This window comes from Homo sapiens, chromosome 16, assembly GCF_000001405.40.
Source record: "Homo sapiens chromosome 16, GRCh38.p14 Primary Assembly".
NCBI lineage: Eukaryota > Metazoa > Chordata > Mammalia > Primates > Hominidae > Homo > Homo sapiens.
In genome coordinates, this window is record NC_000016.10 from 10,669,503 (window position 1) to 10,687,497 (window position 17,995).

At 47.6% G+C, this 17,995-nt stretch overlaps 1 protein-coding gene across 1 annotated transcript in view; it reads right to left on the minus strand.

Moving 5' to 3' along the window:
• Nucleotides 1–17,995, minus strand: part of TEKT5 (tektin 5) — a 67,430-nt gene that overhangs the window by 42,002 nt on the left and 7,433 nt on the right. The window contains exons 4-5 of the mRNA NM_144674.2: nucleotides 12,491–12,634; nucleotides 6,457–6,679 (exon numbers count right to left, since the gene is read on the minus strand). Of these exons, the coding sequence (NP_653275.1) occupies nucleotides 6,457–6,679; nucleotides 12,491–12,634 (367 nt within the window). The remainder of the gene's footprint in view (nucleotides 1–6,456; nucleotides 6,680–12,490; nucleotides 12,635–17,995) is intronic.

The window sequence follows — 17,995 nt, forward strand, 5'->3', positions numbered from 1 at the left end:
TAAGGAAGGCATTCTAGCACTTTTGAGATGGTCAGAAGCAATGAAGAAGGAATAACCTTCTCATTGTATGATTCAGTGATATTAATGCTATATCCATGTAACACATATAATATTTCACCTGCCAGGGTCTAGTTCCCACAATGTCAGAATAAGCACTTTCTCCATAGAAGTATCCCTGACCCCACACATCCTACCCCCAAAAACCATATTTATGCATCTTTTCCCCCTACACATTAAGAGATCCCCCACTCAAATGCACATTCACTTGGGTAATTGCATGTAAATGAGGGGTTGTTTTTCTGGAAGTTTCCAGGGCCCTGGGTCTCAGAGGAATCAGCACTCAAAGGCAGCAACCCACTCTGTGGCCACCAACTTCTTTAGTCCAGAGAAGTCACCAGCTCCTTTGCTAGCAGTGGTCAGTATGACACAGTGATACCTGGAGCCTCAAAGTGCAAGGATGAGGCCCCGGGGCAAGCTATGAGGCTTGGGGTGTGGCCGAGGTGACAGAACTCTAGCATCCCAGTGAACAGATGAGGCTGTCTGCACAGCCCCAAACCACTGTCTGCACGTGGAGCCGTGTAGATTTGGTCTTACAAGGTGGATTCCTGTGACCACTTGGGAAATAACTGCCTTGCAGCATAGGTAAGGATGGGCACTTGGAATTTTCCAGAAATGCCTTTTGCCAAGGACTATCAGGCTAAGCTCAACTAATAACAGTTACATTTTTAAAGAGAGCATTTCAGTCCGGGCACGGTGGCTCAAGCCTGTAATCCCAGCACTGTGGCAGGCCAAGGCGGGTGGATCACCTGGGATCAGGAGTTTGAGACCAGCCTGGTCAACATGGTGAAACCTCATCTCTACTAAAAATACAAAAATTAGCCGAGCATGGTGGCAGCTGCCCAGCTACTCAGGAGGCTGAGGCAGGAGAATCACTTGAACCTGGAAGGCAGAGGTTGCAGTAAGCCAAGATCTCGTCACTGCACTCCAGCCTGCACGATAGAGTGAGACTCCACCTCAAAAAAAGAAGAGAGCATTTCAAATCCTCTAGCCAAAGTAAACTGTTGAAAAGTGAAATGGTTGCTATACATTTATCTTCATTGCATCAAATTCCTTTATTATTTTAGAATAACACCATGTGAAATTCACCAACCAGAAGACAAATCCTTGCTCAGGAAAATGTCAATAGCGTAGGGTTGGAGTTTGGTGCATTTCAGATGGGTGCTAACTTATTTGCAGAACAGCTGGTGATTAAATTATGACTATTAATAAAAATCCATGAGGTTGCAAAAACCCTCCAGTCTGTAGTGATGAGGTTGTTAGTAATAATTCAAAACTTCCCTGGAGGAATTTTTATTTTTATTTATTTATTTATTTATGTATTTATTTATTTATTTCAACTTATTTTAATTTTAATTTTTTAGAGACAATGTCTTGCTCTGTCACCCAGGCTGGAGTGCAGTGCCACGATCATAGCTCACTGCAGCATCAAACTCCGGGGCTCAAGGGATCCTCACTAGAGGAATTTGGAAAGCGAAAAGGTTTTGCTCTCCCCACCTCCATTCAAAAGATCCTTTCTCTCTCCATCAGTAATTATATTAATACTTACAGTTACCTTTTTACTGAGTGTTTATCATTTGTCAAGCACTGTTTTAAGAGCTCCAGAGATTACCTCATTAATACAGTAATGTTACCATGTAGAAATTCTTATCCCTGTTTCACAGGTGAGAAACCAGGTACCAATAGCCAACTAAAAGAGCCTTTCCAAGTCATCCCCAGACCACAAACTTCAGGCAATGAAACATGACAATGAACTACATTTGATCCACCGTATGAGATGCCTCATTAAAAGAAGATGCACAAGAGCCAAAAGATGGACGCCACCAAGTCTCCATAAATGGATGAATGGATAAAGAAAACGTGGTATAGACAGACAATGGAATATTACTCTGACTTGAAAAAGAAGGAAATTCTGACACATGCTACAACATGGATGAGCCTTGAAGACATTATGCCAAGTGAAATTAACCAGTCACAGGAGGACAACTACTGTATGATTCCACTTATATGAAGTCCATAGAGTAGTCAAATTATCAAAGACAGAAAGCAGAATGGTAGTTACTTGTATTTGTCTGTTCTAATGCTGCTGCTAATAAAGACATACCCAAGACTGGGATATTTATAGAGAAAAAGAGATTTAATGGACTCACAGTTCCACATGACTAGGAAGGCCTTACAATCATGGTGGAAGGCAGAGGAGGAGCAAACGCACGTCTAACATGGCAGCAGGCAAAAGAGAATGTGCAGGGGAACTCCCTTTTATAGAACCACCAGGTCTCAAGAGACTTATTCACTATCACGAGAAAAGCACGGGAAAAACCTGCCCCCATGGTTCAATTACCTCCCACTGAGTCCCTCCCACTGACACATGTGGTTTATGGGAGCTATAATTCAAGATGAGATCTGGGTGGAAACACAGCCAAATGATATTACCATGGATATGGGGGGAGATGGAAAAGGGGAGGGAGTGTTTAATGGGTGCAGAGTTTCAGACTGGGAAGATGGAAAAGTTCTGGAGATGGATTGTGGTGATGGATGCACAATGTATGAATGTACTTAATGCCACAGAACTGTACACTTAAGAGTGGTTAAAATGCTAAGTTTTATGTTATGTGTATTTTACCATAATAAAAATGGGTCTTTGCATGAAAAAAAGAAAAAGGGACATTTAAGGCATTCATTCATGCATGCTTCATTCTTTAAAAAAAAACCTCAGTACAAAACTCAACATTGCAGGCTGGGCATGGTGGCTCACACATGTAATTCCAGCACTTTGGGAGGCAGAGGCAGGTGGATCACTTGAGCCCAGGGAACTTGGGCCCGGAAGTTCAAGACCAGCCTGGGCAATATGGCAAAACGCCGTCTCTACAAAAAATACAAAAATTAGCTGGGGCGTGATGGCGGGGGGTGTCTGTAATCCCAGCTACTCAGGAGGCTGAGGCAGGAGAATCACTTGAACCAGGGAGGCAGAGGTTGCAGTGAGCCGAGATTGCGCCACTGCACTCCAGACTGGGTTACAGAGCGAGACTGTCTCAAAAAAACCACCTCAACATTGTAGATTCCTTCCATTCATTGCAGAAAGATGTAAGGAGTACCAGGCAGTTATTAAGCAGTAGGGGGACAAGGTTAAATCAGGAGCAGTGCTCTGAAAACATATAGGCAAGTAAATCAACTAGTACATTAAGATCACAGCCACTAGCACAAACATGGTGCCTACTATGTGCCCGCACTCCTTCAGGTGTTATGCCTGCATTAACTCAATCCTCACGGCAGTTATTTTTTGTTTTTGTTTTTTTTTGTTTTTTTTTTTTGAGACAAGATCTTGCTCTGTTGTCCAGGTTGGATGGAGTGCAGTGGTGCAATCACAGCTCACTGCAGCCTCCACCTCCCAGGCTCAAGTGATCCTCCTTGCCTCAGCCTCCTGTGACAGTAATTCCTATCCTCATTCTACAAACAAGGAGACTGAGGCTCAGAGAAGTTAAGAAAGTTGTCCAAGTTTATAGAGGATTCATCATAACCATGCAGTCTGGCTCAGGGTCAGTGCTTCTAGCCAAAAGATATGAGATGGAAGGAGCAATGAAAACACAGTCTCAGAACGCAGTGGCCACCCAGAGATGGTGAGTGCAAATAAACCGTGGAGTTTAGGAAGGATTCCTGGAGGAAGCGACTTTTGAGCTAAGTTCCAGAGCAGGGGTTGTCAAAACTACAACCTGTGGACCAAATCCAGCCCACTGCCTAGTTTTGTGAAGTTTTATTGGAACACAGCCACACTCATTTTTGTACAGATTGTCCACGGCTGCTTTTGCAGTATAGAGGCAGAAACCGTATTGCCTGCAAAGCTGAAAACAGTTATCATCTAGCCTTTGACAGGAAAAGTTTGCCAACCCTGTCCTAGAGGATTAGTAGGAAAATAGTTCATGAAAGATAAAGGGAAGGTGCACAGGCCAACTCGATGCCAACTTTGCCTTCTCCAGGTATCTCACCCTTTTCTGGTCCTTCTTCCACTTGATGTCACCACCACAGCACAGGCAGCCTTCCCCACTCCCTGGGCCTCTTCTGGAGCCTCCTAACCACTGCACCCATTCTATTTTTTTTTTTTTTTTTTTTTTGAGACAGATTCTCACTCTGTCTCCCACGCTGGAGTGCAGTGGTGAGATCTCGGCTCATTGCAACCTCTGCCTCTTGGGTTCAAATGATTCTCCCGCCTCAGCCTCCCGAGTAGCTGGAATTACAGGTGCATGCCACTATGCCCAGCTGATTTTTTGTATTTTTAGTAGAGATGGAGTTTCACTATCTTGGCCAGGCTGGTCTCGAACTCCTGACCTCAAGTAATCCTCCTGCCTCTGCCTTCCAAAGTGCTGGGATTACAGCCGTGAACCACCACGCCCGGCCGCTGCATCCATTCTTAACCTCTGCGTCCCTTCTGCCACGCAGGCAGAAAAGAAATCAACAAAAGGACAAGCTTGGATCCAAACACTGTCCTGCTTAAAATCTTCAAAGGCTCCCCATTGCTCTTAGGTAGGAATCCAAACCCTTCACCAGGCCTACCCAGACCCACCTGCCCCTTCCTCCAGCTTCATCCCGGACGCTTCCTTTGCCCTTGCTGCTCTCTCCGGAATCCTCTTCCCACCAACTTTTGGCCGCTCAACTCCCTGTTGATCTGTTCTCGGTGGCAACGTCCCCTGCTTCTCTGCTCCACCCAGTGTGGGTCCCATGAGAATATCTGGCTCACCCACCCTTGCTCCCTCCCTATAAAAATGTTGCAATGATTTCATGGAAACTCCTGTTTCGAGGCCAGTCATGGTGGCTCACGCCTGTAATCCTAACACTTTGGGAGGCTGAGGTGGGAGGACTGCTTGAGCCCAGGAGTTTGAGACCAGCCTAAGCAACATAGCGAAACCCTGTCTCTACAAAAAACTAAAAAACCTAGCCAGGTGTGGTGGCACGCACACGTAGTCTCAGCTACTTGGGTCGCTTGAGCCCAGGAGTTCAAGGCTGCAGTGAGCCGTGATTGTGCCACTGTGCTCCAGCCTGGGCAACAGAGCAAGATCATCTCAGAAAAAAAAAAAAAAAAAAAAAAAACAGAGAGAGAAGAAAAGAAAAATAAACTTTATTTATTTATTTTATTGTCTCTTTTGGAGTACCAGATCAACGGGTGGCAGATGTAGGTGGGCTGAAACTACCACTGTAATTTCCATCAAACCCTGCCTGCAGCCCACTAATCCCCCCAAAGATAGAGACACAATAAGAAAGGGCACAGTTCTTATTTTTTTTTTTTTTCTTGATACGGGGTCTCGCTGTCACCCAGGTTGGAGTGCAGTGGTGTGATCTTGGCTCACTGCAACCTCTGCCTCCCAAGTTCAAGCGAGTTCTCCCACCTCAACCTCCCCAAGTAGCTGGGATTACAGGCAAGCACCACCACACCTGGCTAATTTTTTCTATTTTTAGTAGAGCCAGGGTTTCACCATGTTGGCCAGGCTGGTCTCAAATTCCTGGCCTCAAATGATCTGCCCGCCTCAGCCTCCCAAAGTGCTGGGATTACAGGTGTGAGCCACTGTGCTTGGCCTTAAAAAGGGGTACTGTTCTGCAAACACAAATTCAAGGCTAGTTCCCTCTGACTTGACTATCATCCAAGTTCTTTCTGTGTATAAATTTCACAGCCACCACTGTTCCTCCAGGAGAATGTCAAGTCCCCAGAGGCCAGCGCCCATGTTTATACGGCTCCTCATTTTATTCCTAGTGCCTAGCGCAGCATCTGGCACCCAGTGGGAATCTAAATTTGCATTGAGCAGGGACTATAAATTCCATCCAAAGAGGACTCCAAGAGCCAACCCAGAGGTGTGAAAAAGCATGACGCAAAACGCCTAAAGGGCACACTGGTGTAGGCATAGCACGCAGACGACAGAATCGGGCAGTGCTGCAGACTCCTCAGATCCAAAAAGCACCCCACCCCTCAGCAGGGAACCTTTAGACTGTTACGGTACCGTTCAGGCCTTTGGAAGTCAAAGATTACACTTCCAAAGATGCTGCTGTGGACGGAGAAGATGTGCAGAAGTGGCAGAGACTATGGTGTGCCGGGCTCCGTTCTCTGCACTCGCGCTCGGCCACATGGGTCTTAGATGGAAAATAAGGGGTCCTGGGAGTGTCACAGCCTCTTGGGCACAGCTAGGCCAAGCTCCAGGCTTGTAAGCAAGACAAGATGGACTATGGATGCTTAAATCCCCCCAGGAAGCTCAGCCCTTGGCCCCTTTTAGGAAGAAAAAGACCACAGACCTTGGGAGAGAGGGTACTGCTTTGGCACCAGGGGCAGGGCCAGCTTGGCCCAGATAACACTCAGATTCACGGGAGAAGGGTGAGGGCTTGGCAGAGAAGGCAGGGGTCCTGGGAGGATCTGCTCACCTTCGCCAGCTGCGTCTGCAGCTTATTCTTCACATCCGTCACCTCAGAGATGCGGGCGTTGAAGGCCAGGTTGGTGTCTGTGAACTGCCTCCACATCTGATCCGACAAGGTCTCAAAGAGGTGCTCCGCCTCCTCCCGCAGCTGGATGGAGTTGGCCCGCATGTTCTGAGAGTGTTTGATGTTGTCGTTACTGAACTTGGCCCAGGTCTCAGGTACGGAGATCCTGCAAAGGCACAAGGGTGAGTTGCAGCAGTCCTGGAAGACCTCAGAATCTGTGGTTTCTCCGCCTTGGCAGTCTTGGCCTCTGGGTCGGGATTATTCTCTGTCCTGTGCATTGTAGGGTGCTTGGGATGTTTAAGCAGCATCCCTGGCCTCTACCCACTAGATGCCAGTAGCTCCCCAACCACCCCGTTGTGACAACCAAAAAATGGCTCCAGACATCGCCAAATGACCCTGCCAAATGGGAGGGTGCAGTCGCCCCTTGTTGAGAACCACTGTCCTGATCCAATACCCTCATTTTACAGGGGAAGCAAGAGAACCCTAAAGAGAGCAGCTGGTTGGCAGAAGGGCACTCAGTGAGTGGGTCAAAGAGAGGGGCTCCCGCAGAGAGCTCTTTTCCCTAACACCCACACCACCACCACCAGAAACACAACGTGGACAAGCCAAGAAGCAGGCTTTGGGCCTGCTTCTTCATTGGGGTCCCTGAACCCCCTAACTCTGCGATGGGAATGTGGCCACGCTACTTTCACTGCCATTCATTCATGGAATATTTCTTCAACTTCTACGACATGCCAAGCATTGTTCCAGGCAGTTAGGAGAGAGCCATGAACAAGAACGGCAACATCCGTGTCCTCATGGCGGTTAAGTGCCAGAGGAGGGAGATTGACAGTGAATGAGGAGATAGTTACACATTGTGTTATGTGCTGGGAAGGGATTTAGAAACTGGAGGGCTGGGCCAGCCATGCCTCTAATCCCAGCACACTGGGAGGCCAAGGCAGGCAGATCAGTTGAGTCCAGGAGTTCAAGACCACACTGGGCAATGTGGTGAAACCCACATCTCTATAAAAAATGTCAAAAAAAAAAGTACCTACATGTGGTGGTGCATGCCTGTGGTCCCAGCTACTTGGGAGGCGGAGGTGGGAGGATCGCTTGAGCCCAGGAGTCCGGGACTGCAGTGAGCCATGATCGCACCACTGCACTCCAGCCTGGGCAACACAACAAGACCCTGTCTCAAAAGAAGCAGCAGCAGCAGGAGGATGAAAGAGACAAATGGAGTGGTGTCATTATGTGTTGGTCAGGGTTGTAAACGGGAATAGATGGAATACTCGGAAGGGTGTTGAGATCGTCTGGGATTAGAAAATGTATGAAGTGCTGAATGTGATGGCTCATGGCTGTAATCCCAGCACTTTGGGAGCCCGAGGCGGGCGGATCACTTGAGGCCAGGAATTTGAGACCAGCCTGGCCAACATGGTGAAATCCCGTCTCTACTAAAAATATAAAAATTAGCCGGGTGTGGTGGCACACGCCTGTAATCCCAGCTACTCGGAAGGCTGAGGCAGGAGAATCACTTGAACTGGGAGTCAGAGATTGCAGCGAGCCGAGATCACGCTACTGCACTCCAGCCTGGGCAACAGAGTAAGACCCTGTCCCCCCCAACAAAAAAATAAAAAGAAAATGCATGAAGCTGTCACTATCCCAGCTGTAAAGGGCAAGAGAAAAGGAAGCAATAGGTGTTATAAAAGCCCCAGAAAAGGAGGAACCATGGTTGACCAGTGTGTCTGGGAGGGAGGTAGCAGGAGAAGAAATCGCAGCCTCTCCCCTCCCACACTCTGTCTTCTGCTGGTACCCCTCCTCCAGGCTGAAACCATCTGGAAACCAAAGGACAGAGAGCCCAGGAGAGGTCTGCAGAGGATAGTCGGCCATGCAGGACTCACAGCGTGGTAGCTGGAGAATGGATCTGGGGAGATCAATGGACATGGACACAGGCTACATTAGCAAAGGCAGGCAGGGAAGGCTTCTTAGAGGTGGTGACACATGAGGAACTCCTCAGTAAAGTTCTTCCTGGCAGAGCATGTAAATCCCTGCAACAAGCAACCAATGGACTATGTGGGGTTTTCTCATCTGGGAAGGCTTTGAGGAAGGGCATGCATTTCTTTGACCTGGCTTCAGGTCCTGGGTAACTTCTGAAGGTCTTGAGTGGCGGGATCTCGGCTCACTGCAACCTCTGTCTCCCACGTTCAAGCAATTCTCCTGCCTCAGCCTCCCATGTAGCTGGGACTACAGGCGAGTGCCACCACACTTGGCTAATTTTTGCATTTTTTGTAGAGACGGGGTTTCACCATGTTGGCCAGGATGGTCTGGATCTCTTGACGTCGTGATTCGCCCACCTCAGCCTCCCAAAGTGCTGGAATTACGGGTCTGAGCCACCGCACCCGGCCTCTTTTCAGACATTTTAAAGCACACTTAGGTTGCATGGTGCATAGAAAGTTTTAAAAATCATATAGCTTGTGTGATTGTTTTGCTTGGCTTTTGCAGGAGTTAAAAATCAAGCAATAAACAGGCATCTCGGGCTTCTGGAGATAGGAGTGGCACTAAGTCAGGTTCAGAGCTTTCATCCAACCAAGACCTGAGGCTCAGAGAGTGAAGCATCTTGTTCAAGGCCGCACAACAACGTCCCATCCCAGGACACTGAGGAAAGAGGAGACAATAAGGACAGCAGAGAGAAACATGCAGATTTACTTTGAGTGTCTCTGTTGCCTCTGAATGGGGGGACAGTGTCAGTGTCATAAACAGCAACCTCTAAGCCCTTGTCCTCCCCTGCAGCAGGCAGCTGAGCTCCCCAGAGAAAATAACCCGCTTAATCACATTCTCCCTGGGGAGGAATTTGCCAAAGACAGTCTGCCTCCTCAGCAGGCAGTGTGTCTCAGTAGGGGGAAGTGCTTTCTGGAGTCTTTGTTCTCTAAAGATGGAGAGGACAGCTGGCTTTGCTGGAGAGGCAGGAAGGCACCATTGGTAAAACACACAGGCTCAGTATTCAATGTAGATTCAGAATCACAGCTCTGCCATTTGCTGTGTGAGCTTGAGCCAATCGATTCACCTCTCCGAGCCTTAGTTTCCTCATTGTAAAATGGAGATAATAATGGTACCAACCCCCAGGGTTGCTGAGTGTTTAAATGTGAAGTCCTTGTCATGGCACTGGACAGAGTAAGCGCCCAAAAAATGTTTATTATTCATGAGATGTTGCATATGAAGCTGTCAGCACAATGTCTAGCACATAGCAAACACCAGGTAAAAGGTGTCTCTCCCTGCCCAACATGGTGAAACCCTGTCTCTACTAAAAATACAAAAATTAGCTAGGCGTGGTGGCATGTGCCTGCAGTCCCAGCTACTCGGGAGGCTGAGGCAGGAGAATCACTTGAACCTGGGAGGCAGAGGTTGCAGTGAGCCGAGATTGTGCCACTGCGCTCTGGCCTGGTGACAGAGCGAGACTCTGTCTAAAAAAAAAAAAAAAAGGTGTCTACTGCCATCATCATTATCATCATTGTTAATCCATGGTAATGAGAACTGCAGTGAATAGAGATACTGCAATTCAGACAGTCACCAAACGTCCTGTTTCATCCGCCCAGACATAGCCCTGCTTTAAGAAAACCCTAAGGCCAGGGGTGGTGGCTCACACCTGTAATCCCAGAAATTTGGGAGGCCGAGGCGGGCAGATCACCTAAGGTCAGGAGTTTGAGACCAGCCTGACCAACATGCAGAAACCCCATCTCTATTAAAAATACAAAAAATTTAGCTGGGCGTGATGGCACATGCCTGTAATCCCAGCTACTCAGGAGGCTGAGGCAGGAGCATCGCTTGAACCCAGGAGATGGAGGCTGTGGTGAGCCGAGATCGCACCATTGCCCTCCAGCCTGGGCAACAAGAGCGAAACTCGGTCTCAAATAAATAAATAAATAAATAAATAAGAAAACCACAAATACAAAGCCCCAAGCTAGCACATCTGGGGAGCAATTAGTTGCTACAAACAGCAGCTCTCTTCTCCAGATGGAGTCTCCAGATGGGGGACTTTAAGGAGCAGGTCCCTCCTGGGTGTGGAAATTGGAGGCTCTGGGGCTGCCAGGTTTCTGGAGAGGAATCTGTTTGGGAAGAGAGACCCTCTGGACTCCCTGTGCAGATGAGGGGGGCCCAGCCCCCAAAGTCCTGCTCACCTTGCCAGTGCCATGGAGGAGAGCACCTTGTCAGGAAGAGAAGGAAAGTCCCCAGGAGTTGTCATTACCAGAAGTCCCAAAGGGTCACCTCAGCACTGTGACATTTGTAAGATCCAGAAAGTGACCCCAGGCTTGGGCCAAGGAGAATGCCAAGGAACACCTTCCTTCTCGCTTCCCTTCCTCCCTTCCTGTGGTTCTTCTTTCCCTCCCTTCCTCCTTCATTCATTCTTCTATTCAATAAAAATTTATTGCATACCAACATGTGCCAAGCACAATTCTATGTGCTAGGGATTTTTTTTTTTTTTTAACAGAAGAAGGCAGAACTAAGATAGACTCCACCCTCTTTCTCATCCCGAGCATCTCTCAGACCTCAGACTACCAACTGGGAAGCATGTTTTCATTCTGCATAAAATCTCACAATAGCAAAGACTTGGAGCCAACCCAAATGTCCAACGATGATAGACTGGATTAAGAAAATGTGGCACATATACACCATGGAATACTATGCAGCCATAAAAAATGATGAGTTCATGTCCTTTGTAGGGACATGGATGAAATTGGAAATCATCATTCTCAGTAAACTATCACAAGAACAAAAAACCAAACACCGCATATTCTCACTCATAGGTGGGAACTGAACAATGAGAACACATGGACACAGGAAGGGGAACATCACACTCTGGGGACTGTTGTGGGGTGGGGGGAGGGGGGAGGGATAGCATTAGGAGATATACCTAATGCTAGATGACGATTTAGTGGGTGCAGCGCACGAGCATGGCACATGTATACATATGTAACTAACCTGCACATTGTGCACATGTATCCTAAAACTTAAAGTATAATAATAATAATAAATAAATAAATAAGAAAAATACCAAAAAAAAAAAAAAAACCTCACAATGCTGTGATATGCCCACGATCATGACAGGCTCACAGAAGGCACCACCTCATAGCTGCTGTGACGAGAAAATGAGGTCACACAGTAAGCACTTGATAAATGTTGGCTGTGATTATTCTATACTAGGCTCTGTGCTTAAAACTTCACACACCCACCTTTTTCATACTCCCAGCAGCCCTGGGAAGTGGGTACTTAATTTTCTCCCAGTGGTATAGATTCAGAAATGGCCCAAAGAAATGAAGTGACTTGCTCAGTGTTAGCGTAGAGGCTGGGATTTGAAGCCACGTAGCCTGGCTCCAGATTCCACTCTCTGTCTCTCTCTCTCTCTCTCTCTCTCTCTCTCTCTGGCTGGTCTGGAAAACTCCTGGAACTCCTGGCCTCAGGCAATCCTCCAGCCTTGGCCTCCCAAAGGGCTGGGATTACAGGGGTAAGCCAACAAGCCTGGCGAAGCAAGAATTCACTCTGTTAAACCACCCCGCCACCAGCCGACCCCAGTTGGTCTCCCTGCCGAGGTTGTCACTTGTTTCGGAATTTTTTTTTTTTTTTTGGTGAAACTGCTGAGTGGCAGTGGCTGTGCGACCCTCACTAAGCCAATGCCATGCCCTCTCTTCCTGAAATTTGGATCTTGAATGGTGGGGCAAGGATGGAAAGATGAAGGCGCTCTGACCACACAGCTCCTACTGCCAGAACCTTTCCTTCCCGCTTTCCCCTTGAGTTCGTGGCTCCCCCATACCTCCTCCGGTAAATTCCATCTTGTCTTAAGCTAACCCGACTTGGATTCTGCCGCCTGCGCTAGAGGATCCCCGTTCAACCATGCCACTTCCCACTTAACTGGTGCACGATGCCCCTTCGCCATTCGTTGGCAGGAGCAGAAGCCCTCACTCCAGTTGGACACGCCAGGGATGGGGAGGGGGAGTCTGATACTTACGTGCCGTCAATTTTCTCCATGCCGTGGAAGAAGCTGATGCAGTCTGACGTATTTCTCAGGTTAAAGCACTTCTCATCGATACACTGGGCCGAGCTTTTGTCTTCGAGGTCCCTCTCCAGCACGTGCTGAGCATCCCGGTTATCCCTGCAGGGAGGGAGGAGTCATTCCTGGACTATGCACCTGCACAGAGTACCCAGCTTGGGCCACACAGCAGGTGTGTGTTGCAAGCCCTGGACTCCCAGAAAGCCACCCAGTAGCTTCTCAGTCCTCTTCCCACCTCCATGTCCCACCACATACCCAGAGGCTCCCCCCAATCCAAACAGATTTGTCCTTTATTCTTTTTTTTTTGTTTCCAGACAGAGTCTCACTCTGTCACCCAGGTTGGAGTGCAGTGGTGCAGTCATGGCTCACTGCAGCCTTGACCTCCCAGGCTCAAGCACTCTTCCCACCTCAGCCTCCTGAGTAGCTAGGGCTACAGGCATGGGCCACCAAGCCCGACTAACTTTTTAAATATTTTTGTAGACATGGTCTTGCTGTGTTGCGCAGGCTGGTCTTGAACTCCTAGGCTCAAGTGATCCCCCTGCCTCAGTTTCCCAAAGGGTTGAGATTACAGGCATAAGCCACCACACCTGGCCCCTGCTGTCCTTTAGAAGAAGGATGGGTAAGCACTTACCGTAAAGGGTTACATGATAAATAATTTAGGCTTTGTGGGTCATATGGTCTCTGTTGCAACTACTCAACTGTGCACGAGAGCAGTCGCAGATATGTAAAAATCCATGTGGCTTCATCTCAATAAAACTTTATTTACAAAAACAGATGGCGGGCCAGATTTGTCCCTCCAGCTGTAGCTTGCTGACCTAATTTTGAAGATATCAATCCACACTTTGGACAAAGCCTGATGCAAGTCAAATCACTTTGTAAATCAATCATTGTGTCTGACCCTATGCTGGGCACCGAGGGATGAGACGCAAATAAGACGACCCAGTCACTCCCTTCAGGTTGCTCACAGATTTGTGTGAACAAATATAAAATATATGTATATATGTACAGAACAGAATGGTAAGGGCATTGTGCAGGTTTGAAAATATGAAACAACACAGAGGAAACCATTAACTGAGGGTGAGAGGGTGGTCAGGGAAGGCTTTCCAAGGTGTCTGAGCTGGGTTTTCACAATAAATAGGAGTAGACCTTATGGGGGAATGAGAATTCCAAGCCGACAACATCACACGTGCCAACACAGAGAAGCTAGAAACACCAGATGTTTAGGGACCTCAGGATCAGGAACTGGGTGGAGTCAGGGGCTACGTGAGGACAGGGATTGGGTGGGGTCAGGGACTGGGCGGGGTCGGGGGCTAGGTGAAGACAGGAATTGGGTAGGGTTGGGGCTGGGTGGGATCAGAGACTGGGCTGAGGTAAAGAGAGGACAATGGATCAGGGCCAGGGCTTAAGCCAGGAGGGCTGGTTGGTATCTCGGCTAAGAAGCTTAGACTTAAAGATTACTGCCAAATTCCAGACATTTGAGAATCACTTCCACGATTCTTGCCAAATACCAAACTCGACTATTTACTTATTTTTCCTTTTTAAAATCACTTTTATTTAATTAATTAATTTTTTTGAGATGGAGTTTTCCTTTTGTCGCTTAGGCTGGAGTGCAGTGGCACGATCTCAGCTCACTGCAACTTCCGCCTCCTGGGTTCAAGGGGTTCTCCTACCTCAGTCTCCCTAGTAGCTGGGATTACAGGCACCCGCCACCACTCCCGGCTGATTTTTGTGTTTTTTTAGTAGAGATGGGGTTTCATCATGTTAGCCAGGCTGGTCTTGAACTCCTGACCTCAGGCGATCCGCCTGCCTTGGCTTCCCAAAGTGCTGGGATTATAGGCATAAGCCACCGCACCTGGCCTAAAATCACTTTAAAAATGTAAATAAATGTATGATAAAAGGAAAATTTACATCCCTGTCTTTAAAGAAAAACCCATCACCCTTTCCATTAATAGAAGATCACCTCAGACCTAAATATTAATACTACGTAGGCACTCGCTAAATCCTAGCTAGAATCTATTTCCTCCAGAAGGTTCTAAGCCTGGACCTTTTTCTGTTTCCCTGTTGGCTGAAAAAAAAAGAGATCAGTTGATGGTACAGACACATAAGCAGCAGCTGAAACTTTTGCCTTGAAGTGTTTAGAAGAATTGTTAGAGTAGAGAAGGGAGTAACTTCCATTAAGTGAGGGTATGTCAGACACCAGCTAAACCGAGTGTATCTGTTCTCTATCTGTCTCTCTGCCTTTCTCTCTCCCTCCCTTCTTGTGTCTATGTCTCTGTCTCTCTAACCTTTGTCTCTTTCTTGGTTTCTCTCTGTCTGAGCCTCTGTGTGTCTCTGTGGGTCTCTCCCTCCCTCCCCTCCATCTTTTTTTTTTTTTTTCCTGCTGTGGATGTTGGTTGCGGGTGAGGGGTTCCCAGCAGGCCAGGAGCCAGGAAGTGAAATCCTCACAGTGGTGGCGGTTCCCACCTATCAGGAAGCTCGGGTCATGTCGGAGCAGGAGGAACCCCAGTCCCGGGGCCCTTGGGGTTTCCAAATTGGCAGAGTCCTGGAGAAATGGGGCCCTGTCCTGCCTAATGAGCTGGAATGTGAAGCGAGGCCAGGATGTGGAAAGCAAACATGTTAGAGAATTAGAGGGAAACCTGGGGGCCTCAGAGTCCAGCGTGTCCAGCTGCCTGGCCCTTGTCATGAGGCCTAGGGAAAGAGGAGGCAGTCCTGTCCTCCCTACTCGGCCCACAACCAAGGGCCAGACCAATGCCAAGCTCACCCTGCTGTCAGCCCACCAGGAAAAGACCAAACGTGGCTCCTTCTCTATCAGGAAGAGCCTTTTCTCACCTGGTGCAGCAAGGACCCCACCCTGCCCAGATGCGGGCCTCAGGCTTCGCAGAAAACCATGAGCCAAGAGCCTGGTGTTGGCCACCTGAGCAGGTCAGTGGCAGAGCTTCCCCAAGGGGGTGAGGACACACCAGACTCTGCCTGGCTAATGAGGCTCTGGCTGGCTCTCGGTTAATTAGTATAACCCCAATCCCTCTGGCAGCACAAGCTGTGAGATGGCAGGAGTCATCTGACACACAGCCACTGCCCAGCGACAAACAGCCTCCATCCGGCGTGGCTCGGCCTCCAGTCTCCACAAAGTGAAATGCTGCCCTGACCTGCTCTCATCCTCTTCCTCACTCACTCTGTGCTTGCTTTCTCTCTCTCCTGCTGTCTGCCTCAGTTGCTCTCATCTCTCTCGGTCTCTATCCAAGCTCAAGCATCTCCCTCTCTCTTTCTCTCTCTCTCTCTTTTTTTGAGACAGTCTTGCTCTGTGGCCCGGACTGGAGTGCAGTGGCACGATCTTGGCTCACTACAACCTCCGCCTCTTGGGTTCAAGCGATTCTCCTGCCTCAGCCCCCTGAGTAGCTGGGATTAGAGACATGTGTCACCACCCAGCTAATTTTGTGTTTTTAGTAGAGACGGGGTTTCACCATTTTGGCCAGACTGGTCTCGAACTCCTGACCGCAAGTGATCCACCCACCTCGGCCTCCCAAAGTGCTGGGATTACAGACATGAGCCTCCACGCCCAGCCTCTTTTCCTCTTTCTCCATATCTGTCTCTCTCCTTCTCTTTGCCTTTCTCTGTCTCTATCTCATCTCTTGCCAGATACTTCTGGCATATCTGACTCTGTGCCTCTCTGTCCGTCTGTCTCCCTACTCCCCACCCGTCTCTGTTTATCTCTTCATGTCTCTGTCTCTTTTGATGTCAGTGCTCATCTCTCTCTCTGTGTCTCTCAGTCTCTGGGACTGTCTCCATCTGTCTCAGTCTTCCTGGTTCTCCCAGATCCCCCCACCTCTGGTTGCATCATCTGGGGTTGCAAAAGCGGCCTCCTGATCCCAGTCTCAGGATTTCTCCTCTGAGGTCCAGCTCCCCACTTCAAGTCTGGGATTAGTTCACTCTGCCGGCTCAAACTATCCCACTTCCCAAACGTCAGCCCTCCTGTCCCCACCAGCGCCACGGTTTTTCACATCCCATCGCAGCTACAAATGGAAAACCATTCTCTCTTGCCATAAATAGAAGATCACAAAAATAACTGGAAGAAAGAACAGAATAGAGAGCCCAGAAATAAATCCAGGCATTTACAGTCAATTGATTTTCAGCAAAGATGCCAAGAACATACAGTGGATAAAGGACAGCTTCTTCAACAAATGGTATTGATACAAGTGGAAAGGTACATGCCGAAGAATAAGTTAGAGCCCTATCTCACACTGCAGACAAAAATCAACTCAAAATAGATTAAAGATTAGCTGGGCATGGTGGCAGGCACATGTAACCCCTGCTACTCAGGAGGCCGAAGCAGGAGAATCACTTGAACCCAGGAGGAGGAGGTTGCAGTGAGCTGAGATTGCACCACTGCACTCCAGCCTGGGTGACAGAGGGAGACTCCATCTCAAAAAAAAAAAAAAATAGATTAAAGACTAAAATGTAACACCTGAAACTGTAAAACTACTAGAAGAAAACATAGGGGAAAAGTTCCATGACATTGGTCTGGACAACGACCCCAATAGCACATGAAATCAAAGCAAAAATAGACAAATGAGATTACATCAAACGAAAAAGCTTCTGCACAGCAAACGAAACAAACAAGAGACTGAAGAGACAACCGCAGAAATGGGAGAAGATATTTGCAAACTACACCTCTGATAAGGGGTTACTATCCAAAATATGTAAAGAACTCAGACAACTCAATAGCAAGAAAACAACCCAGTTTTAAAATGGACAAAGTTATTGCGGCACAATTTACGATAGCCAAGATACGAAATCAACCTAAGTATCTCATAACAGATGAATGGATAAAGAAAAGGTGGCATGTATACACAACAGAATACTACTCAGCCTTAAAAAAAGAAGAAAATCCTGTCATTTGTGACAACATGGATAAGCCTATAGGATATAATGTAAAGTAAAATAAGTCAGGCACAGAAAGACAAATATCTCATGATCACACATGTATGTGGAATCTAAAACAAGCGAACAAATAAAAGCACAGAGTAGAATGGTTGTTACCAGAGGCTGGGGGTGGGGTATTGGGGAGATGGTGGTCAAAGGGTACAAATTTCAGTTCGTCAGGAGGAATAAGTTCCAGAGACATGGTGACCATAGTTAACAACAATGTACTGTGTTCTTGAAAATCACTGAGCTTTTAAGTGTTCTCATCACAAAAAATAAGTATGTGAGGTAACATATATGTTAATTAGTTCCAATTAGTTCAATGTTTTGAAATACACACGTAATTTCAGAACATCATGTTTTATATGTACAGCATATACCACTTTTGTCAATTAAAAATGAATAAGTAATTAAAAAAATAAGTGTAAGAAAAATGCAATAAAACAAAGACACTGGCCTGTCCCAATTCTCCCTTTGTTAAAATTTGCCTGTTTAAATAAGAGTATTTAGGCCAGGCGCAGTGACTCATGCCTATAATCTCAG